Below are 24,342 nucleotides of genomic sequence, written 5' to 3' on the forward strand. Positions count from 1 at the left end.
AGATGTCCTTCCCACATGGGAGGCCAGGGAACAACCCAGGAGGCAGGGCACTCTACAGGAGACAAGGGGACCAACCTGTGCAAGCAACAGCAGCCAACACCCAGGCCTGGCCATCATACACAGGTCGGCCTCGGCCGGTGAGCCACTGCCGCAGGATGGGCACGCTGCCCCGGCGCTTGTTCAGCAAGGCCCCTTCCTGGGTGGCCTGGGTCTGCGGGGTGGGCAGGACCCTCTGCTCCTTGAGAAAATGCAGCTGTTTGGGGAAATGTGTGGATGTCAGTATGAGTCCCTTGGGCAGGACAGCTTCCAGGGCATGGGTAAGGAGGGCTCATCACAGTACTCCAACCATGGTGAACAGATCCCCAGCATTAGAGCCACCTGGTACTGGTTAAACCTGCATGCTTCTGGGCTCCATCCTAGGCCCCTGGGTCATAGCTCTAGGGCTGGAGCCCAGGACCCTCCTTCTTAACAAGTTCTCTGGCTCCAGCCACAAAGAGGAGCATTAGAGCTGCCCTTCCTTGGGGGCTGGTTTCACCGGTTCTTAGTCCTCCACCCTGACTCGTTTGAGGTGCTTTGCACCTGGGTCCTGGAGGCCACTTATCCCAAGCTTCTTTCAACTCACAGGCTGGCCTGGACTCTCACCATCTTTTCAGAGGGGACTTCAGCGGCAAAGAGGGAATGGTGAACACATGACTCCTCTGAGAGGATTTTTAGGGACAAGGAAAAGCACCGAGTTACCATCATGGTCTGCATATTCTTATGAATAATTTAGAAGTATAAAAGAAGTCCCTTCGATCACTGCAGCAGCAAGCCCTGGGTAAGATGGGCCCTACCCACTCCTTCCCATGGGCCTAAGCTCCAGGATGGGACTGGGTGTGGGGAGGGAAAAGAGGCTTAGTCTTCTGCGGGCTTGCATCCTGAGGGATCACACATTTCTTTGCTTTTCTCCCCGCTGTGGATGCTATTGCCTGTCTTTTTGTCCTCCTCGGACGCTTCTGTAGGAACTGTCCCCACACCCTGGGAGGAGGGGGCCATTTGTGATTTGGGGGTTTCTGAGGCCACGGTGGTGGGGCAGGTCTCTCAGAGGGCTTTTTTCTCACCCCTGCCCCATTCTGGTTCCCCAGCCTCTCGCTTACCAAGGCACCCAACACACGGGCCACGTGCACCGGCTGGCTCCACTTCTCTACCTGCTTGTCCTTGCTCAGCAAGCGCAGGCTGAGGTCAATGACATCCCCCTCGAACTGTTAAGGATCACACAGGGCCATGATGAAGGGTCCCCACACAGGGCCATGAGGAAGGGTCCCCAGGTCAGGCACTCATCCTGCAGGACAGCCTCATCATCTCGTCCTTCTCCCAGACCCGCACTCCACACCTGCCTCCCTTGCCTCATCCCTCTGAGGAGCTCTGGCTCCCTCCCCCAACCTCTCAATGGGACCTGGGTTCCTTTTCCCAGGCATCCAGTCCTTTGCCTATCTGTTGTCTGACTCCCGGTAGGGTGTGAGCTCTCGGGGACCCGTGCTGTACTGTTTCGTTTCATTGCACTGCATTCCATTTCCATTTAGTGAACCCTGACTGTCCTACCAGCCCTGAACCGGGAGTGGAGGATACCGAGGCAGCTCCTGTTCCTGAGGAGCCCACGGTTTAGGACTGGAGATGGACACGCAGTGCAGCCCCTTAGATTACAGAGCACAGCAGCATGGCCAGGGCTCTTGTAGAGATGCCGGCACAGAGCAGCACAGTGGAGAGGCTCCCCCTGCCTTCGGGGATTGGGGAAGGCTTCGAGAAGGTCTTGAGAGATGGGTAGGAGCTTGCCAGGAGATAAGAGTGGGAAGCCCTTCCTGGCAGAGGGAACGTTCAGCCTGTTGCTCTGAGGATGGTGAGGAGTTGGAACATGGGGCGGTTCATGGGGAAAGGAAAGCAGGGTCCTGGCTGGAAGGGCCGTGGATGTTAGGCTAGGGGGATTTGGTCTTTATCTCAAAGACAGTGGGGATGTAACTGGGGCTTGATTTGCCACAGTTTTAAGGAAAATAATTCTGGGAGCTCCCGGAGGATGTTCTGATATGGCCCAGAGGAAGGAGAGGCACCACAAAGCTGAAATGGGCTAAAGAAATGGTCTCATGACCAGGGGTTTTTGGACCTACCAGCTCTGTCTAGCCTCAACATGCAAGGTTATGGGACAGTCACTCTACACACTCCTCCCCTAGAGGGCCCTGGTACCTGGCCAAAGTCCCAGGACTCTGCCTGGATGCAGTCAGCTGTACCCAGGTAGATGAGACCATTCTGGTTCAACAAGTACTCCATGCGCTGAGCCTCATTCTTCAGGAACACAGCATCCTCTGGTGAGAGGTGGGTAGGGATGAGGGCCTGTGGGGGTCCTAGGTCCACCCTCCACATCCAGGCCTCTGTCCTCCCTGCCGAGATTAGGTTTGGCTGCAGGCCACCCCGTCAGCTCTGGGCCTAATGAAGACTGAGGAGGAAGTCCCTCTTTCACTGCCCCCACTGGGACCCAGCCCAGAGTCCCTGGGTCAATCAGGGTGTGGCCTTTATGGTCAGCCAGGAAGACAAGAACAACCTTAAAAAGCTTGGCTGGCCAGGTGCAGTGGCTCACGCCTATAATCCCAGCACTTTGGGAGGCCAAAGCAGGACAGTTTGAGGCCAGGAGTTCGAGACCAGCCTGGGCAACACAGCAAGACTCTGTCTCTACAAAAAATAAAAAAAAAACAGCCAGGTGTGGTGGTACGCACTTGTAGTCCTAGCTATTCAGGAGGCTGAAGCGGGAGGAAACTTGAGCCCAGGAGTTTGAGGTTGCAATGAGCTATGATGGTGCCACTGCACTCCAGCCTGGGTGACAGAGTGAGAGACTTTCTCTTAAAAAAAAATGAAAACCAGCCAGGCGTGGTGGCTCACGCCTGTAATCCCAGCACTTTGGGAGGCTGAGGCGGGTGGATCACCTGAGGTCAGGAGATCAAGACCAGCCTGACCAACATGGTGAAACCCTGTCTCTACTAAAAATACAAAAAATTAGGTGGGTGTGGTGGCACGTGCTTGTAGTTCCAGCTACTTGGGAGGCTAAGGCAGAAGAATCTCTTGAATCCAGGAGGCGGAGGCTGCAGTGAGCTGAGATCATGCCATCGCACTCCAGCTTGGGCAACAAGAGTGAAACTCCGTCTCAAAAAAAAAAAAAAAAAGAAAAAAGAAAAAAAAAAGAAAATCCTAGTCGTTCACAGCCAGAACACTATCGTCCCTGGATAAATTGGCAACAGGCCAGGGAGCTTCCCAATGGCTTGTATGTCTTTCCCACAAATTCAATTTGTGACCAAAAACAGGTGTTTCAGAAAAAAGACAATTAAGCATAGGCTGACGGATGTAAGCAGAGGGAAGAGGAGCATTTGGCAAAACAGGGTTGGAGGGTTGGAAGGAGCAGCGGGGTTGAGAGGTGGAAGTCAGAACATTGGATTTCTGCCCCGGGGGTGTCCAAGTGAGTCTAGGGCTCCCTCAGTCTCCTCCCGGTGCCCCTCCTGCTTTCCTCATCCTAGGGTTGGGCTGGAAATCATGAGGAGGGTGGGCGACTTTGGGGCCATCACCCATTCTGGGAAGCTAGAAGCAGGAGGGCAACTGCTTAGGGCTAATCACTCTGACCCAGTGGCCGAGGTGGAGTGGACAGGGGTTAGACTAGTTTCTGGGGACTACAGAGAGAAAAGGATTTCCAAATCATCCAGAGGAGCTGCTAGGCTAACCTCTCTGGAGCCCTCCAGGGATCCATCTGGGGATGAGGGTCCTGAAGGCAACAGAAGGATAAGACACCAGAAATGAGGAAGCCCTGAAAAATCTGGGGCCTAAAATTACAGACCCATATGCCCAAGGAGCCCTCCACTCCTGCCTTCCATCCTGAGTACTCTCTGAAGTCAGCTAGGCATCACTGTTTTTTATTTTTTATTTTTTTGGAAATTACTTCAAACTGAGGTGTTTGGCCCCAGGATCTACAGGGCTCTAGGAAGTAGCTTATGAGAGCATGGGCAGTGCCAGCCTCCTCCTCTCTGCTTGGGTGTATGTAGCCCCCTTTATAAAGTGCCTGGCCTGTGAGCAGGGCTCCAACTTTTATCATAGGATGTAAAATGATGTAAAATTTCATTTTGAATCCCCATCTCCAAGCATGGCAAGATGACACTGAGATGCCAGGGAATCTGAAAACTTCTCAGTCACCTCCCAGATGAGCGGAGCCAATGACTCTCCCCTGCCCAGACAGAGACCTCCACCCACACTCAGGCAGAGAGGCCCTCCCTAGGCAGGTCCCTACAAACTGAGCACAAAGGCAGGACTCCTGGCACTGGAGTCAAGAGTGTGGGCACCCTGAGCCAAGCACTGTCCTAGAACTCTTTGCTGGGTCTTTATGGCGGTCACCAGGGCCTGGCTCTGGAAGCAGACTCAGGGTGATCTGGGGGTACACCAATGCCTCAGCTTCGGAGGGAAGCAGCTTGAAGGGCTTTCTGCCAGTCATGGAAAGTCAAAGGGCCTCCCCCAGCCCAGGGGCCCTGCATCTACATTCAACCACGTGGGGCACCTGGATGAATACTAGCTCCCATCTGCTGATCCACCTGCCTGCGCCCTTGGAGCAGGAAATAAGGGCCTGAGCTGAGGACAGGTGGGGCCACCTGAAGTCGGGGAGAACGCTGCCCTGGACAGAAGAAGTGGAGAGAGAACCCACTGGGATTTAGGTACCACAGAGAAAAGCAGTCAGGAGCTGCGGGCCAGACATGAGGCCAGGCTTAAGAACCTGGGAAGGTTCTTCCACCTCCCCATGTTTCCGTCAGTTTCCCAGCCCTGCCTTGCCACGGGGCCTCCTTCAGGCTGGCAGCAAAACTCTTGAGAGGAAAAGGGCTATGTACTCGTTTGATGTTGTAAAGACAGGAAAGCCGGGAGAAACTCTTTTCCATTCTCCCAACAAACCCTTCAGGGAGCCCAAGGTTGAAGGTGGGTGAGATAGATTTAAAAGCAAAGACAGACACAATCTTCAGAGTGGGGAGGAAGAGAAGATGGGTCCTACTTTGGGTCTTATTTGGACATGTATTATGTCAGATGGCCATTTCTAGACGACACAGCTCCAGCCACAGCTAGGGCTGAGCTTTGCTAGAGGTGGCCACGGTTGGGGGGGCGGGGCACAGCAGGTCACCTGACCCCAGGGAAGCCGCTCATAGTCTGGTGAACCGTAGGGTCCTGTCAGACCCTTGGGTAGGGGGGTCTGGAGAGCGCCCAGCAATCTGCAAGAACAGAATGAGCCGGAAGAGAGGAGCAAAGACAGGGAAGTGTAGATTTTCTGGGAAGCGGAAGCAGAAGCTTGTGGAATAACACAGACCTCTTGGGGCCCTGGTCGGCCGGGGAGCCTTATCAATTCAAAATGGTATATTCTTTTTCTTAAAGAGGGTCCCCCAGATTGCATCAGCTTCAGGTCCTGCAAAGCCTGAGTGCACTCTGGAAACAGAATAGCCGGGGAGAGAGAGAGAAGCCCATCCTCAGGCCACCTCATTCCCGAGGCCCTCTCCAGTTCTCACCCCTGCACTGTTATAATGAAGGGCAGCTTTCCCAGGGTCATCTCAGTGAGTCTCAACTCCTGTGACCAAAATAGCCTGAGCCAGCACCAGGGTCTGGTGGTGAGACAAGCTTTTGCTTTCAGTGGGAAGGCTCAACCTGCTTCTCCCAGGGGTGACACCAAAACAGGACCCTGGGTCTGAGAGCTGGTTCATTCAGGGAGAAAGCCCTGGCACAGACTGGGTGTTGGTGCTGTCCTTAGAGAGGGCTGCCACAGGGGCCTGGTGCAGGTGCTCCCTGCCAGAGCTGCACCCCAGCTCCAGTGTCTGGAGTCTCCATGCAGCCCAGGCTGGCCCAGGTCCAAACTTACCTCTATTCCAGGGGTTAAAAAGCAGTGTGAACTGACCCAAGAGGAGTTGCTTCCTGCCTGAGACCTGCAGCAGAAGCGAGTAGTGGCCAATGACAGCGTCCGCAGGTGTGGTCACAGAGATGGTCCAGGACTGGGCATCTCTCTCCTCCACCACTGCACTCCACCACTTTCGGTCCCCCAGACTGGAAATTGGGAATGTGGCTTGGGTCCTGTTGATCTTGGAAGGCTGCTCTCCTGTAGTCACACGGTGATTAGTCTGTCACTGGGACTTCTTGGTCACAACTCAGAGTAATAAGGTCAGGGTATTACAAAGATGGAGCAGGTGAAATTTGTTTTTGGAGGATAATGAAAGTGACCCACCTAGAAATGAGGCCCATCAAGAAAGAGTGATAGGAGAGCAAAGGCTTTTGGCACCCATGGACCTTCATCACAGTCTATAAAATGGGCATTGTAATAGTAACTTCTTCATGGTCCATGGGAGGACTGAATGAAATATTGCATGTGAAGTACTTGCATACATCTGACAGGTAGTATGGATTCAATAAACAGTAGCAATTAAATGTTGTATTTAGCCTGGGTTCGATTCCATCCAGAATTTTCTTTTTCTTTCTTTCTTTTTGAGACGGAGTTTTGCTTTTGTCGCCCAGGCTGGAGTGCAATGGCACGATCTCGGCTCATTGCAACCTCCACCTCCTGGGTTCAAGTGATTCTACTGCCTCAGCCTCCCCAGTAGCTGGGATTATAGGCCACCATGCCTGGCTAATTTTTTGTATTTTTAGTAGAAACGGGGCTTCACCACGTTGGTCAGGCTGGTCTTGAACTCCTGACCTCAGGTAATCCACCCGCCTCGGCCTCCCAAAGCGCTGGGATTACAGGCGTGAGCCACCACACCCGGCCCCATCCAGAATTTTCTACAAAGCTACTATTATATTTGCAACTGAAAAGAAGCTCTTGGTGATGCTGCTGCTAGGCAGCTTCTGAGTCATCATAAACAATATTTACCAGGCACATAATCTCGTGGCACCCTCATGACTGCCCTGCCAGGTGGGCAGGACTTCTTACGGCCCAGCTGCAGTGTGGGCCATTTGTCCCTTGATTCCCTAACAGGGTGCTGGAGAGAACAGAGAACCCCCCAGGCCTGCTGCCAAAGGAGTCTAGGCCTGACTCACTAACCAGTTTGTGCAGTGAGGGCCACCTTCTTCAGGGCAGGCAGAAATGCACGGACTGGAGCGCGGAAGTACAGGATGATGGTGAAGGGCTGCCCCCTCCTCACAAAGAGGCGCCGGGAGCTGAGGGCCTTGGTGTGGTGCTCCTCATTGTTTCTTGCTGCCTGAAAGTCACAGCTCTTGATACCCAGGGCTGTTGTGGGAAAGAGAGAAGTCACGGAAACTAAGTACATGTGACAATGTAAGTACAAGCAGAGATTCTGGAGTCAGAGAGACCAGGGTTCTAATCCTCGGCTCCACTTACGTTTTAGCTGCGCAATCCCAGGCAAGTAACTTAACCACCCTGAGCCTCAGTTTCCTTTTCCTTAGAATAATCATCCCTCCCTTCAGAGTTGTGGGGATTAGATGATGTACAATACATTTAGCCGTGTCAGATACACAGTAAGTCCCATTAAATGAAACTGTTGTTGTTGTTATTATTATTAATAAGTGCGTTGCTTACTCTCATTGTTGGCCTCCTTTTTCTGGTCCCAATCCACAAGCAATGAATAAAACCCAAAATCTTTCTCGCACCTACTCATTTTTTCTTAGAGCACAATCAGATAATTTTTAGAGCTAGTTTTGAGATCACTGAGTCCAATTCTCTTGTTTTATAGATGAGAAGAGTGAGGCTGAGTGTGGAACTGTCTCACCCAAGACTGTGCATGGTAGCTTTTTGACCTAAAGTCTTACTATAAACTCACAGCTCTATGCAGCCCAGAAAAACCCTTCACGGAGGTGGCTCAAGAGTATTACAACAGTCTGTTAATCAATTCTCATTTAACAGAAGTGATATGGTTTGGCTTTGGGTCCCTGCCCAAATTTCAGGTCGAATTGTAATCCCCAGTGTTAGAGGAGGGGCCTGGTGGGAGGTGATTGGATCATGGGGGCAGTTTCTAATGGTTTAGCACCATCCCCCTAGTGCTGCTTGTTTAAAAGTGTGTAGCACCTCCTCCTTCACTCTCTCTCTCTCTTTCCCACCAGCCATGTGAAGATGTGCTTGCTTCCCCTTCACATTCTGCCATGATTGTAAGTTTCCTGAGGCCTCCCCAGGAGCAGAAGCTTGTATAGCCCGCAGAACCATGAGCCAGTTAAACTTCTTTTCTTTATAAATTACCCCATCTCAGGTATGTCTTTATAGCAGTGTGAGAACCGACTAATACAAGAGGGAAGAAAAAAACAAGGAGTAGAGAAGTCAAAAGATATGTTCAGCAAGCGCAAGATAAGGAACAATGCTGGAAAAAAAGTTGGTTTTTTTGTTTTGTTTTGTTTTTGCAGCAAAGGAATTGTGTACTTTTTGTTCCTTTAATAGCAGAAGGCCATTGGGAATCTCCTTGGTCTGAAAGGCAGCCTGCAGTTTTTGCACTGGCTCAACTGCCACAAGAGAGAAACTATGGCTTTTGCTCACAGGTATGAAATGAGGTCTAACCCACTTCAGGGAAGTGATATGACCCTGATAGCAAGGTCCTTTAGACTACAAGACGGATCTTGTCAAATTCAGGATACTCCTACTTCAAATTTTCCTCAATTCCCAGTCTCTCTGACTTAGAGCTGAAGAGTAGAGGGGAAGGATGTTCTACTTTTCTTTCACTGGTGATGGGGATGATAGAAGATGCCAATGATGTCTATTTAGGGCAAAAGAACTGACATTATTGAATATGAAGAAATGTGAAAGTGTGCAGAGGAGGGAAGGAACCTCTCTGTGTCTGGTCCTCATGTCCCTGGGTGCCCCTTGCATCCTTGTATCCCCCTCCTCCACTTGGCTTGGTCAGGCCATGGCTATAGATAAAGTAGCCATGGGGAGGCTGGGATTTGTAAACTGAAGTACAGCAGCACTCAGAAACCAAAAACGATTCCTCTTTCTGCTTAGCACAAAGCTCGTGCTGGGGCCCAGGGTAAGCCCTGCCTCTGCAGACTGGTTGAGTTGGATTGGATGGTGGAATGCCTTAGTCACATCCTAAGTCATATGACTTGAGCCTCCGTGTATCCGAACCCACGTAATGACCATAGTGTTACGGCAAGAGTCACTAGAATTCATTTGGATTCTTGTTCTGTCTAGAAGGCTCCCACCATCTCTTCTCTACCTGGCAGATGTCTACTCATCTTCCAAGATCCAAAGGCACCCACCTCTGTAGCCTTCACTGACTCCTCCTGGCAGAGGTCAGTCCTCTGGACTCCCACAGTACTCTGCTCCACTTTCTTCAGCACTTATCCCATTTGATACCCATCACCTGCTTAGTCCTCTGCTCCCCTTTTCACTGTGAGCTCCCCAAGATACAGTGCTTTCTCATATCTGCATCCTCTGTCCCAGCAGAACTCAATAGATAGCCAATCAGTGTTTGCTCCGTCAATGAATGGATGAGAACATTGAGACGGCCTTAAAGGAGATTTTCTCAGATACATCACAGGGGCCTCAGGCCCCCACCTGTGCTGCCAGACCCTCGCAGGGCCCCTGAGGTTTCTGCATTCTTTAGGTCTGCCTGGTTTCTTGGTTTATCTCTGCCTCTGCCCCTTTTAGGTGGATTCATTGACTCCTGCCTCCCCTTCTCTCCCACTGGGTCTTGAGGCAATGATACCTTCGTGTTTTCTCACCATCTCCTATTTGTACCACAGCCCATGAGAAGTTGTGTTAACCCGGAGATCATGTGGAATGCTCTTCAGAGGTGCACAATACCCCACCCTCCTCCCTCTCTGCCTTTCACAATACCCCAGAGCTGCCTCAGATGTGCCCCTCAAGCAGTTCTGTGTTTAACGACTGGCTGGGGGGAGGGGGCGGTGAGGGGAAAGGGCGTACTGAGTTACAGCATTTGCCAAGTTCTGTTGTGTAAACTACGCCCCCTGTGGCCAGTCTGAAGCTACTGAGGTGATGTCAGCAAGCGCAGAGCTGTGAAGAGGCGCGGACTGGCACATCATCATGTGGTTTTTCCAGCACAGAGATACAGGAGACATAAACGCCCTCAAGAACATAAAGGTAAAAAGGAGTAAAATACGTAGGAAGTGATGAGTTTAGAGTACTTATTATCTTTCTTTTTAATATAAATTTTTTACTTGTAAGTTTATACAATTTAATTTTTAATAATGCCTGTGTTTAAGAACTGGTTCACAAGGTTCCTCAAAATTTAGCAATTGGCTCTTGCAAGTCAGCACAAGCCAGCTCCAGCCACTGCAGCATGTCATGAGTTCATACTCAGTGATTCTCATCTGGTGGCTACTGGGCCCTCTGCCACCCACTGCCTGGAAAGAATTTAGTGCCCAGGGGCATCCTCTGGTTTGGGACTAGACTAAACAATCTCCTGATATCTTTGTGTTTCTCTGATTGAGTAGATTTTAATTTGTCTGGTCTCTACAGAATAAAAAGAACGATTTGGCCAGGCGCAGTGGCTCACGCCTGTAATCCCAGAACTTTGGGAGGCCGAGGCGGAGGATCACGAGGTCAAGAGATCGAGACCATCCTGGCCAACAAGGTGAAACTCCGTCTCTACTAAAAATACAAAAAATTAGCCGGGCATGGTGGTGGGTGCCTGTAGTCCCAGCTACTCAGAAGGCTGAGGCAGGAGAATCACTTGAACCCAGGAGGCGGAGGTTGCAGTGAGCCGAGATTGCGCCACTGAACTCTAGCCTGGTGACAGAGAGAGACTCCGTTTAAAAAAAAAAAAAAAAAGGACAATTTATTGGTGTCTGCCCTATTTTCACAAGACGTGGCTGAGATTATTGACTTAATTCACCCAGAGTTCTTTTTCTTCCCTTCTCAGCTGTTGGTCTCAGCGTCAGTTGCCCTCCGCACACCAGACCAACCAGGGCAGGGGAGTGAGGCAGTTTCTATAGCAACAGAACCACAGCTGCACCCCACTGTCCCCACACCTCTGCACCATTTCCCTCTGCCTACCCGCTTGCTTCTCCCAGGACACAAAACAGCCAGGCAATTCCCAGGCCAGGATATAATAATTCCTGCCAAGAGTGCTGCGACTCTGACCACCTGTGTTGGTTTCTTGCTTTGTGTCTGCCTCTGCCCCTTTTAGGTGGATTCCCTGACTCCCTCCTCTCCTTCTCTCCCATTTGGTGTAGAAGCTGTGACACCTTCATGCTACCCAGGGTGTCTCTCATTTGTATCAGTAAGCTGTGAACACTTATGCTATGATGACCTTGGGATAAGAATATAAATCCATGTTAACCACCATCACCATCTCACCATCATACAACTATCATGACCAGTTTACCCCAACATGCTACCCCATAACCACCCCACAGCAACATCACCATCACCTCCGCCTCCGCCTCCACCAGCACCCATCATCACACCACGCTCCACAGCCAGCTCACTATCACCTCTACCAGCACCCACCTACCACACCCCCCCCCCACAGCCACCTCATTATCACCAGTACCCCCTCCCCCACCATAGTTATACCACCATCTCCCCGCCTACCATCCATCCCACTTCCTTTAATGAAAACAGGTGATGCTGCGGGGGCTGCATACAGTCCAGCAAGCCCTGTCGAGCGCTGGCTTGGCTCACCCTGTCCCATGGTTGCAGGCCGCTCCTCTTATCCACTTGGCCGCAGAAAGCGCCTCTCTCAAACTGTTGCTTCTGGGCTCCTTCTGGGCTTTCTGTCTTCCAGACAGAAAATATGAAGGCACTTTTGTTGGCTTAAGAATCTGGAAATAGCAAAACCTCCCCCCACTACTCCTGTGAGCACCCTGACATGTTTCTTCTCTCCTACTCCCTCTCTGCTGGTATCTCCTGGACCAGTTACTGGGAGTAACCCTGTTCATTTTATCTCTTGTGCCAGGAGGCCCAGGCAGGAATACGCCTGGCAGCCCTGGGGGAGGGGGTGGGATGGGGAAGACCTGCCAACTAGAGAAGCCTAGAACAAACCTTGAAGCCTCTTGCTTCAGTGGTCTCAAGAGACTCTCAGAGATGTTATCTGGACTGCACTGGAAGACTCTGGAAGAGAGGAGGCCACAAACAGGAGTCCCATATCCAACTCCAAATCTCAGGCCCTAAACGTGACAGGGGCTGCAAGTTGCAAGATGTTCATGGGCTGTTTTGATAATAGAGAGAACACGTGCATCTGCAATTTATCTGTGTGAAAAAGATAAGGAAGTAGAATTTGTTGGTGAAAAATAAATGTATTAAAAGTAGAAGCTGGGGCCCCAACTCTTCCAAGCCTACCTGGTCTGGGACCCTCTACCAGAGAAGGTTGGGAACTATCTTGGGACTCAGGCCCTATGTCTTTTCAATTTTTCTTTCTTTAGTTCCTGAAGAGACAAGAGAAGGATCTCATATTTGGCCCTACCTGGGCTTGTGAAACTGTGTTACCAGAAGCACTTTCAGGGCAGCTGTACTTGCTGCATATACATGAGACGTCTATAGAATGATATAAAACACACTGCCAAAAATATTGGTTGCCTGTGGGGAGGGGATCTGGGCAGTGGGGTAGAAAGGTTATCTTTCTGCTGTTTACTCTTTTATACTTTTAAAACTTTGAACTTTTGAACTCATTTGAAGGATCTTATTATGTAAAAAAAAAAAAAAAAAAAAAAAATGAAACTTCTGCCTTTCACTAGCGCAGTGGCTCATGCCTGTAATCCCAGCACTTTGGGAAGCCAAGTCAGGCGGATCACCTGAGGTCAGGAGTTCGAGACCAGCCTGGCCAATATGGTGAAACCCTCTCTCTACTAAAAATACAAAAATTAGCTGGGCGTGGTGGCAGGCGCCTGTACTCCCAGCTACTCAGGAGGCTAAGGCAGAAGAATTGCTTGAACCTGGGAGGCTGAGGTTGCAGTGAGCCAAGATCGTGCCACTGCACAGCCAGCATGGAGCAAGACTCCATCTCAGAAAAAAAAAAAAAAATCCTTCATAAGAAATGAAGAAGTTAATTTTTCATTATTTGAAGATGTCATTTTTTACCTGGAAAACTTGAATCTACTAACAATGATTATAAAAGGTAATTTAGTGAGCTGGCTAATACCAAAAGTATAGAAGCCAATAGTTTTCATACCTGCAATCAATAACAAGTCAGAAACTGTAATTAAAGACCCAACCTATAATAGCAACAACAACAAAAGGTGAAATTTCTAGAAATAAACTTAAGAAATGTGAAGTGCTGTCAGTAAAACACTTGGAAACGGTATGGAGGGACACCAAATAAGACTTGAGCAGATAAAAAGGAAGATCACCATCCTGTGTAGGACAACTCAACTTTATAAAGCGGTCATTTCTTCCCAAGTTGATCTTAAGTTTAATTCATTCCCAATAAAAACACCAAGATTGTTTTTTGAAACTAGGTAAACTGATTCTAAGGTTCAAAAGGAAATTTCTAAGATAATAATAAAGTGTGACCAGCCTTCCTAGATATGAACACATAATATGATATTACTGTAATTGAAAAGTCCATAGATCAAAATACATGTATTAAATGTATGCTAAATGTGGCACTTCAAATCCATGGGGAAATGAAGGATTTATCAGTAAATGATTTTGGGACAACTAGCTTGTCAAAATACAGTTGGCTTCCTATCTTATGCCACACATCAAAATAAATTTCAGATGGATCAAAACTCTTATTAAATTCTTAAAGTAATAGAAGAAAAAATGAGACACTTCTTCTTAAGTTAACTTGGGAAAACCTTTAAAAATATTATGCAAAACTCAGAAGACAAAAAGAAAATACTGAGAAATTTGATTCCTTAAAAATTTTTAAATGGAAATATTCACAATGTTAAAAGATATGCAGATGGGGCACGGTGGCTCACACCTGTAATCCCAGAACTTTGGGAGGCCGAGGCGGGTGGATCACGAGGTCAGGAGTTTGAGACCAGCCTGGCCAACTTGGTGAAACCCCATGTCTACTAAAAATACAAAAAATTAGCTGAGCGTGGTGGCATGTGCCTGTAATCCCAGCTACTTGGGAGGCTGAGGCAGGAGAATAGCTTGAACCCGGGAGGTTGGAGGTTGCGGTGAGCTGAAACTGGGCCACTGTGCTCCAGCCTGGGCCACAGAGTGAGAATCCGTCTCAAAAACAAAACAAAACAAGATATGCAACAAGTTGGGTAAAATATTTGAAACTCATATCACGAAGGATTAATCTCCTTAATATAAAAGATGCCTATAAATCAATAAGAAAAGAATAACAAACTATTAGAAAAATGAGTAAAGGATATGATAGACAATTCACAGAAAAGGAAATAAAAATGTCTATCAATTCCATGGAAAGATGTTCAGCCTCATTTAATAAAAATGCAAAATAAAAACACCCTGAGATATCATTCTTTCTTCACCTATTAGATTGGCAAAGATAAAAGAGTTTGACAACATTTTGAGTTGGTGATGTTTTAGGAAAATAGTTGCTCTCTTATAATACTAGTGGGAGTGCAAATTTAAATTGGTGCAGCCTCGGCTGGGCGCGGTGGCTCATGCCTGTAATCCCAGCACTTTGGGAGGCAGGTGAATCACTTGAGGTCAGGAGTTCGAAACCAGCCAGGCCAAGATGGTGAAAACCAATCTCTACTAAAAATACAATAATTAGCCAGACATGGTGGTGGGTGCCTGTAATCTCAGCTACTCAGGAGACTGAGACATGAAAATCGCTTGACCTGGTGGGTGGAGGTTGCAGTTAGCCAAGATCATGCCACTGTATTCCAGCCTTGACAACAGAGCAAGACATTGTCTCAAAAAAATAGAAATAAATAAATTAATTAATAAATAATTGGTGCAGCCTCTCCAAATTTGTGCAGCCTCTACGGAGAGTGTTAGTCAGACTGGGTGGCTTAAACAACAGATATTTATGTTTTCACCCTTCTGTAGGATGGAAGTTCAAGATCAGGGCCTTTAGGCTTGGTGTCTGGTGAAGGCTCTCTTCCTCACATGCCCTCTTCCCTGTGTCCACGCGGAAAGAGAAAGATCTCTGGTGTCTTTTCCTTTTCGTCTTCTTATAAGGACATCATTCCTATTGGATTGAAGCCCATTCTTATGACCCCACTTCACCTTTATTACCTTCTTATAGGTCCCATCTCCAAATACAGTCACATTGGGGGTTAGGGCTTCAACATATGAATTTTTGGGGAGGACACAATTCAGTCCAGAACAAAGGGAAATTAAGTGGTTTCTACCAAAACTTTAAATGTCTATACTTTTTGCTGCTCTGCCTATGGATTAGCCATTCTTTATTCCTTTACTTTCTTAATAAACTTGCTCTCACTTAAAAAAAAAAAAGTCTATACTTTTGATTCAGCCATTCTACTTCTAGGTATTTATCATACAAATGATCAAACAGGTGTAAAATGAAATTTATACAAGTATATTCAAGGCATTGATATTTATAATAGCCAAATACTAGAAACTACCTAAACATCCATGCATAAGGTATTAGGTAGATAAATTATGGAACATGCATTCAATAAAATACATAAAGGTGAAAAAGAATGAAGTAGCTCTATATAAAAGGATGTGGAACAATCTCCAAGCTTGATTTGTATGTTTGTTTATTTGTTTTGAGACAGGGTCTTGCTCTGTCACCCAGGCTGGAGTGCAGTGGTGCAATCATGGCTCACTGCAGCCTCAACCCCTGGGCTCAAGTGATCCTCCCACTTCAGCCTCCAGAGTAGCTGGGACTACAGGCATGTGCCACTACATCTGGCTAATTTTTATTTTTTGTAGAGATGGGGTCCCACTATGTTTCCCAGGCTGGTCTTGAACTCCGGTGCTCAAGTGATCCCCCAGCCTTGGCCTCCCAAAGTGTTGGGATCACAGGCATGAGCCACCGCGCCCAGTCCAAGCTGTATTGTTAAGTGGAATAAGCAAGGTAGAGAACAATGTGAATAGTATACTATCTTTGTGTAAAGGGTATGTGTGCGTGGGGAGAATATATATGAATTTGCTTGTGTTTATATAGACTATTTCTAGAAAATTATTGCTTCTAGATAGAGACATCAGTGCCTAGGCACAAGGCTTTTTTCTATATACCCTTTGTATCTTTGTGCCATGAACTTGTATTTATGTGTTAATATTTTTAAAGTAACAAAAACTTTTAGGGGAAAGAAAAGTCTGGCTGAAAGAACTATTTTCACCACAGAGGGCCCCTTACCTAGGAGAGCAATGGGGAGGTTGTGGGCTGGTCTCCCTTTGGGGAATGTGTTCTCCTTCTGGTTCTAGCAAAGAGAATCTTCTCTTTCCCGGTACAGTTCCCATGAGAGCTTCACAGAGATCCAGTCTCTGGCAGTATTTCAGTCGGGGCACTTTCTGAGGTACCGTTAGGAACTGTTAGGAACCGCGTTAGATACTGGTGGTACAGCAGTAAAGCTCTATAGACGCGTCTCTGCCACCAAGGAGCTTCTATTCCAGCAGGGGGAGACAAACAATACTAAGTGCGTACACCATTAGCTATTTCTCTGTCAAGTGTGCCAAATGCTGTAAAAAAGAAGTTTGAGTGCTCTTGGACCCAGGTGTGGACGGTCAGGGTAGGCTTCTCTCAGAAGGTGATATTTAAGGGAGGATAAATAGGAGTTAGCTAGCTAATAGTGTGTCCGGAATTGGTGGGTACTTGGTCTCACTGACTTCAAGAATGAAGCCGCCGACCCTCGCAGTGAGTGTTACAGTTCTTAAAGGCCGCGTGTCCGGAGTTTGTTCCTTCTCATGTTCTGATGTGTTCGGAGTTTGTTCCTTCTGGTGGGTTCGTGGTCTCGCTGGCTCAGGAGTGAAGCTGCAGACCTTCGCGGTGAGTGTTACAGCTCTTAAGGGGGCGCGTCTGGAGTTATTCGTTCTTCCTGGTGGGTTCGTGGTTTCGGGGGCTTCAGCAGTGAAGCTGTACACCTTCGCGGTGAGTGTTACAGCTCATAAAGGCAGTGTGGACCCAAACAGTGAGCAGAAGCAAGAGTTACTGCAAAGAGGTAAAGAACAAAGCTTCCACAACACAGAAGCAGACCCGAAGGGGTTGCCACTGCTGTCTAGGGCAGCCTGCTTTTATTCTCTTATCTGGCCCCACCCACATCCTGCTGATTTGTCCATTTTACAGAGAGCCGATTGGTCTGTTTTACAGAGAGCTGATTGGTCCGTTTTGACAGGGTGCTGATTGGTGCGTTTACAATCCCTGAGCTGGACACAAAAGTTCTCCAGGTACCCACTAGATTAGCTAGATACAGAGTGTTGATTGGTGTATTTACAAACCATGAGCTAGACATAAAGGTTCTCCAAGTCCCCACCAGACTCAGGAGCGCAGCTGGCTTCACCCAGTGGATCCCGCACTGGGGCCGCAGGTGGAGCTGCCTGCCTGTCCTGCGCTGTGGGCCCGCTTTCCTCAGCCCTTTGGCGGTCGATGGGACCGGGCGCCGTGGAGCAGAGGGCGGCGCTCCTTGGGGAGGCTCAGGCATGGCGGGCTGCAGGTCCCGAGCCCTGCCCTGCGGGGAGGCAGCTAAGGCCCGGGAGGAATCGAGAGCAGCACCGGTAGGCCGGCAGTGCTGAGGGACCCGGCGCACGCTCCGCAGCTGCTGGCCCGGGTGCTAAGCCCCTCACTGCCCGGGCCGGCAGGGCTGGCCAGCCGCTCCGAGTACGGGCCCGCCAAACCCACGCCCACCGGGAACTCTAGCTGGCCCGCAAGCGCCGCGCGCAGCCCCGGTTCCCGCCCGTGCCTCTCCCTCCACACCTCCCCGCAAGCTGAGGGAGCCGGCTCCGGCCTGGACCAGCCCAGAGAAAGGCTCCCACAGTGCAGCGGCGAGCTGAAGGGCTCCTCAAGCGCGGCCAGAATGGGCGCCGAGAACGAGGAGGCACCGAGAGCGAGCGAGGGCTGCCAGGGCTGCCAGCAAGCTGTCACCTCTCAACAGGACAAGGGTTGGCGTGAGAGGAGAGAAAACAGCACGTGCACAGGCGCTAAGGCAGGAGGCATCTGAAAGCAGGTCAGTGGGTCTGCATCACAGAGAGAGATGGGGAGAGGTAAGGCAAGGGCTAAATCTTGCAGAGTTGAGCTGCGAATTTTGGATTTTATTCTCAGAGCAGTGAGAAGCCATTGAAATGATATTTGAAGCAAGGGAGTAACACAATCAGATTTGTATTTTTAAAATACTGGCTAATATGGGGGAAATGATTTAGAGGGGGCAAAAAGGGAAGAGAGATGACCAATAAGAGACTAGGGTAATGGCCCACGTGAAAGATGATGGTGGTCTACTCCGGGGGGTGTTAGTAAAGATAGACATAGGCCGGTCACGGTGGCTCACGCCTGTAATCCCAGCACTTTGGGAGGCCAAGACAGGCGGATCACCTGAGGTCAGGAGTTTGAGACCAGCCTGGCCAACATGGCGAAACCCCGTCTCTACTAAAAATACAAAAATTAGCTGGGCGTGGTGGCGGGCGCCTGTAATCGCAGCTACTCGGGATACCGAGGCAGGAGAATCGTTTGAACCTAGAAGGTGGAGGTTGCAGTAAGCCAAGATCATGCCACTGCACTCCAGCCTGGGCCACAGAGCAAGACTCCATCTCAAAAAAAAAAAAAAAAAAAAAGACATGGACAGATTTGACGGAGATGTAGGAGGTTAAATGGATATGACGTGCTAATGGACAGGATATCAGGGTGGAGGGCAGAGAGGAAAAGATACTCAACATGACTCCCAGGTGCAAATAAGTTAATTATGCTGGCACATTGCTTTACAAAGCACTTTCGCGTACATTATCTTGTATGATCTGAACCTCAATCTTGTAAACTGCATTAAGGGATCATGATTCCAATTTTACTGATGAGAAAATACGTTCAGAGAGTTAACATTTATTTTAGCGAATGTAAGATCAATTAATATACTGCCTCATTCCAGAAAGAATTTAAGACTAACAGTGAAATATGGTATTGCAGAAGAGCACATTACAATGATGCAAATGATGAAAGAATAAAGATGGAACCCAAACAGAGCCAAGGAGGAGGCTAAAAGTGCATACTATAGCCTACCTATCCACATGTGTTCCACATACGAGAAACTTACCTCTAAGCTCCAGAAGGGAAGGTTTCCCAATATCTCACAGCTTATGGTAAAGCCTAGACTCAAACTGAGGTCTTCCAACTCATACCCCACATATGTGATTTCACATTAGCCTTAATCCTAGCCACCACTGAGAAGGTCTCTCTATTCAACCTTCTTTTAAAATCTTTCAAGAATTTCTGTATCTAAATACAGCAGACTAGCTTGTTACCATCCTCTCTGTTGGGAACAATTAGAAAAGTTGAATGAAATATTTTAAATATCTCTTTGAAGGCATCAAGGCAGTGAGGACTTGAGGGATCAAGATCTTGGGGGAGAAGAGCAGAGAGTGAACTTGAAACTGGCTGCCACTCTTCTATCTGGGGCATTTGCCCATTCATAGTTGGCAGATAAGAGCCTGAGAATCTGGCAGTCTAGCAGGGTTTGAGTTTGAGGGTCATTAAGGATGAGGGGCCCCAATAAACACCCCAGGCTTTCTGTTGGGACTGCAGAAGGGCTATGCCCCAGGAGTTGAGTTAAGTAGGAAATAGACTAATCCTTATAAAAGGCTGAAGTTGGCTGGGCGCGGTGGCTCACACCTGTAATCCCAGTACTTTGGGAGGCTGAGGTGGGTAGATCACCTGAGGTTGGGAAACCTGACCAACATGGGGAAACCCTGTCTCTATGGAAAACAAACAAACAAAAAACAACAACAACAACAACAAAAAACAAAATTAGCCGGGTGTGGTGGCACATGCCTGTAATCCCAGCTACTTGGGAGGCTGAGGCAGGAGAATGGCTTGAACCCGGGAGGCAGAGGTTGCAGTGAGCTGGAGATCGTGCCATTGCATTCCAGCCTGGGCAGCAAGAGCGAAACTCTGCTTCAAAAAAAAAAAAAAGCTGAAGCCTGGTTTTAAATAAATCTCCATTATGGCACTCTCCCACTATCCTAACTTCCTACCAGAAAGAACATTCTCTGGAGGATATTAGCATTATCCAGAGCCTAACATTATCTATGTTCACAGAGTTCTTTCTCACATTCCCACAGATTCATTCAGCATCCCAGCTCAGACCTTCTGCTAACACTTGCTATACCAGGCACGTGGCCTGCCTCCCCTCAGGAAGCTCCAGGCTCTCATGGAGTCTGAAGCCAAGCCTATCCTCTGGGGTTGGAGGAAAGCTGGGTATATCTGAGATCAGCACTCTGCAATCAAATTCTTTTTGTCTGTACTCCTGAAAAAGCAGCAGCCCCAAAACTGGCACCAAGTGGCTCCTGGATACTGGGAAGTCAGGTCTCAGGGACAGGTAGAGAAGTGGTACCAGCTGCTCATTGGTTGGTTGGCTGCTGGTCAGTGGGCAAGTGGTGGGGAAGAAAAACTGAACAGTGGGCCTTGGAGGGCCAGGGACTAAAGGAGGAGCGAGCTCTGGGAAACAAAGTGTAGCTCTTGTTGCTGCCTGCCCTTTCCACACAGCCAGCTCCCAGCTCTCCAGTTATTCACCAGGTTGGGGTGAATGAGAGCTTCTGACACTTCCTTGAACTTCAGGCTAACTTATGACACTAACAAAGACACCTTTAGGACCCAAGGGCAGACCTATGGGAGTACTGGGCAGTGTGACATGGGGGGAATTTGGAATCAGACAGACTTTGCTGTGTGGTCTTAAACAAATTACCCAATTTCTCTGAACTAGATAAAGTCCTTTTGTCTCATGATTGTCCTTTGAATGCAAGCAAAGCCAAAACTAGTGTTGGTCAACTTAAAAAAACAAGAGTATGAAGGAGCTCGTAGATTGATGGGGAAAAGGAGAGCCAGGACTAGGAGAAGGATGGACTCCAGGGCAGCTCGAGTGACTAGGCAGCAGGAACAGAGGCTGGTCTGTCTCTGGGTCTCTGCTGCCAAGATGGATGGACTCCAAGTTTCTCCCTTTTCTAACCCACTTCACTCTGCAGTCAAAGTCCTGGGAGAAGTGTCTGATTGTCCCAGCATAAGTCACATGCCCACCTCTTGGCCATGGGCGGGCAGGGCTTCTTCACTGGCAGATCGACCAAGGCTACACACAATAAGGAAAAAGAAATTTCTTCAAAAACCCTTTTTGCCTGGAGCTGAGCTGAGCGTTGTCAGAAGAAAATTATACTGAGTTCCACTGGGGTTGGGGGATGAGGGGCTGTGAGGTTGTCCATTGGGAATGGGTTGGGGAGAACCTTATTTGCCGTGTTTATTGGTCTATTCCCTACACCTAGAACACTCAGCACATTAGGAACTCAAAAAATGTTAAACGAACGGATGAAAGACAACCTTTGCATTTAAGGAAGGCCTTTGCGCTCAAAGAAGTGACTCTGATGGGAATTGCAAGCTCCTATGGCAGACAAGGGTGGAGAACTATTTGTCCTTTAAGTGCTTCTTAAGTCACATGAAGTCTGCTCAGCTCTGCAAAGTGGAATCGGCCCTGAGCACTGACACTGCAGGAAGTGATTGTGATCCAAGACTTAGAGGAGGCAGATGCCTGAAGATGATTGTGACCCAAATTCCTTAGACTGCGGCCTGAAGCTCTTCACCCCCTGGCTCTTGCCTCATTTCTTTCCTGCTTCTTGCTCCCTCCCATTCTGACCTCTGGCCATCTGAATGACTTGCAGTTCCTGGCTGCTTTATTCCACTCCCTCTCCTTCCAATTCCTAGTCTTTGACCAACCACTAGCTTTTAGGGCTCCACTTAAATACCACTTCCTCCAGGAAGCCTTCCTTGAACCAATATCCCAAGGCTGGACTAGCTGGCCCTCCTTGTGCTCCCACAACACCCTGGTTTACCCCAGTGGTGGATCTCACCACTCTGTGTTATAACCTCCTGTTTATTTTTCATTCTCCACATCCTTAGACTTGAGCTCCTTGAGTGCAGGCCCTGGTCCTTCTTGTGTCCTTAGGGCCTACCTGGCTCAGGGCCTGGCCCCTAGTAGAAACTCAGTAAATTTTTGTTGAATCAAAGAATTAATGAATGTGGTGTTAAAATCAGGACTCATTAAAGAGTCCTAGGGTGCAGTTCCTGAAATCTTCCATGTGCTTCAGAGGTCATTGTGTCTATAAGATGTTTCTCTCTCTGGTGTTTTCCTTAAACTATTTCTCATGATTGTCAGGTAATAATTATAAGATGAAATAATTTTAAGTTACTTCCAGCTCCCTGCCAGTAGCTCCTGGTTCTCAGCCCACTCTCTCACAGGACTATTTCCCTACTTTCCCTAATTCTTGCCACATGCCCTTCTATCCCACTGATTAACTACACATACCTTTGGTTTATACATACTGGAAGTCTTTTTTTTTTTTTTTTTTTTGAGACGGAGTCTCGCTCTGTCGCCCAGGCTGGAGTGCAGTGGCGGGATCTCGGCTCACTGCAAGCTCCGCCTCCCGGGTTCACGCCATTCTCCTGCCTCAGCCTCCCAAGTAGCTGGGACTACAGGCGCCCGCCACTACGCCCGGCTAATTTTTTGTATTTTTAGTAGAGACGGGGTTTCACCGTTTTAGCTGGGATGGTCTCGATCTCCTGACCTCGTGATCCGCCCGCCTCGGCCTCCCAAAGTGCTGGGATTACAGGCGTGAGCCACCGCGCCCGGCCTGGAAGTCTTCATCTTCTTTATTTACTGTGTGTGTATTTGATAGGACAGCTGTCTCAGTCATATAGTCAGTACTGAGAGAGCAAGTGCATCATGCCTTTCTTTGTGCAGAACTTTGTGCAGTGCCACAAGAGGAGATAATGATCAGAATTTTTTTGTGTTCAGTAGGACCCAGAAAGCGTGGAGTTTGCATGACCATAAACACAGGCTGCAACTAATAGAAAACTCTGAGAGTATTCCATTTCCCACTCAAAGTCTACCTCATTGTGTTATTCAGCCAGCTTTATCTCCCCAGCCAACCCAAGGCCATCCAGGACCACAGTGCGTCAGTGAGTTTTGAGTGAATAGGCTGGTACTGTTAGGACTGAGGGACCTCTTAGATGTCATATGGGAAAGGATTCAAAGGAAGGCCAAGGGTGAAAGGTCTCCCAGACTTTTTTTTCCCCCCAAGACACAAAGATGGTAGGTAGTAAGTAGAAACACCTGTGAGTTTTTGTTTTTTCTAGCTGGATCATGGCTGATACACCACCTGTGAGTATCTCACTTATTTGTGGACGTGTTCATTGTCTATGTCCCCTGCCTCCACTAGAAATGTAAGCTCCATGAGGGCAGGGACTTTGCTTTGTTTACTTTGTACCCCTACACTCAGAACCACTTCTGGCATATGCTAGGCACTCAATAAATACTTTTTTGAATGAATGGAGACTGCAGCATCCAAGGAACAGATAGGAAAGTGATGACTACATGAGGCAAAGGAGAGCAAGGTCTGAAGTTTATTCATACTAGGGAATTAGCTTTCGCAACAACAAAACAACAGTGAGCTGTTCAGCCTGTCTTTTTCTTTCCTGGATATCTGGGGCAGGGGGCAGTTAAGTCATGGCCAAGTCCTACCAGTATCCTCTGACCTCTGTGCCAAATCACGCTTCTGGATAGGAGACTGGAATCCTGGAATCTCTGGATGGGACACAGTGGAATCCCTGGGCCCTGAAAAGAGTCCAGGGGAGCTGTGCAAATGGTCCAGGGAAATATCCATCCATAGACATTTCCTACCTGTTCTCTGGATGCTGGAGTCTCCTATTCATTCATTCAAAAAATATTTGTTGAGTGCCTAGCATATGCCAGAAATGGTTCTGAGTATAGGGGTAGTAAACAAAGCAAAGTCTTTGCCCTCATGGAGCTTAAATTTCTAGTGGAGTCAGGAGAGACAGAAAATGAACACGTCATCCCCTCTGTGGCTCTTGCTGGAGCCCTGTGAAGCCTCTGTTGTGGTGGGGAATGGCGCAGCTTGCATTTGAACTTGCTCCTTTTCCTGAAGCTTGAAATTCACACGTCTGGCGCGTTGTTCCAGAATTTATAATGCAAAGTCTACATAAACATTCCTGTAACCCTTAATGTCCTTAAACTTGTTGCTTCTCATATTAGCTTGGATCTGCCTTTGTCCACTCTTGAAGGGGACGGTCTCCAGAATGATGCTTGCTTGGTGTTGGGGTTTGAGGACTCCAAGGCTGCAACAGAGAATGGAGCATGTCAGAAAACCAAAAGCATGATAATGACCCTGGAGCCCTTTTCCACCCAGCTTCCTGAGTGGGAGGGAGTGCTTCCACTTTCCCTTCCCCGGTGTTGTGGAGTCTGGCTCAGGAACCCATGTTCAGGAAGGATAGTGCTAATCTCAGGGGGGAAAAACAGGAGAAGGCTGAGCAC

General features: G+C 48.5%; 2 protein-coding genes across 11 annotated transcripts in view; both read right to left on the bottom strand.

Moving 5' to 3' along the window:
- EPB42 (erythrocyte membrane protein band 4.2) overlaps positions 1–16,539 on the bottom strand; it is a 28,511-nt gene extending 11,972 nt beyond the window's left edge. The window contains exons 1-8 of one of the 8 annotated variants that reach the window (XM_011521351.3): positions 16,188–16,539; positions 11,978–12,046; positions 11,528–11,709; positions 7,070–7,255; positions 5,897–6,130; positions 2,218–2,336; positions 1,137–1,241; positions 76–253 (exon numbers count right to left, since the gene is read on the bottom strand). In XM_011521351.3, coding sequence (XP_011519653.1) covers positions 76–253; positions 1,137–1,241; positions 2,218–2,336; positions 5,897–6,130; positions 7,070–7,255; positions 11,528–11,627 — 922 coding nt within the window. In that variant the 5' untranslated portion in view covers positions 11,628–11,709; positions 11,978–12,046; positions 16,188–16,539. Of the gene's footprint in view, positions 1–75; positions 254–1,136; positions 1,242–2,217; positions 2,337–5,353; positions 5,470–5,896; positions 6,131–7,069; positions 7,256–11,527; positions 11,821–11,977; positions 12,185–16,187 lie in introns of those variants that run through there. The other 7 variants (XM_011521350.3, NM_001114134.2, XM_011521352.3 and 4 more) reach the window with 7 other exon arrangements.
- TGM5 (transglutaminase 5) overlaps positions 23,392–24,342 on the bottom strand; it is a 34,339-nt gene continuing 33,388 nt past the window's right edge. For all 3 annotated transcript variants that reach the window (NM_004245.4, NM_201631.4, XM_011522230.3), the window contains one exon: positions 23,392–24,146. In NM_004245.4, the coding sequence (NP_004236.1) occupies positions 23,993–24,146 (154 nt within the window). In that variant the 3' untranslated portion in view covers positions 23,392–23,992. The remainder of the gene's footprint in view (positions 24,147–24,342) is intronic.

The sequence above is a fragment of the Homo sapiens genome, chromosome 15 (assembly GCF_000001405.40).
Source record: "Homo sapiens chromosome 15, GRCh38.p14 Primary Assembly".
NCBI classification, from domain to species: domain Eukaryota; kingdom Metazoa; phylum Chordata; class Mammalia; order Primates; family Hominidae; genus Homo; species Homo sapiens.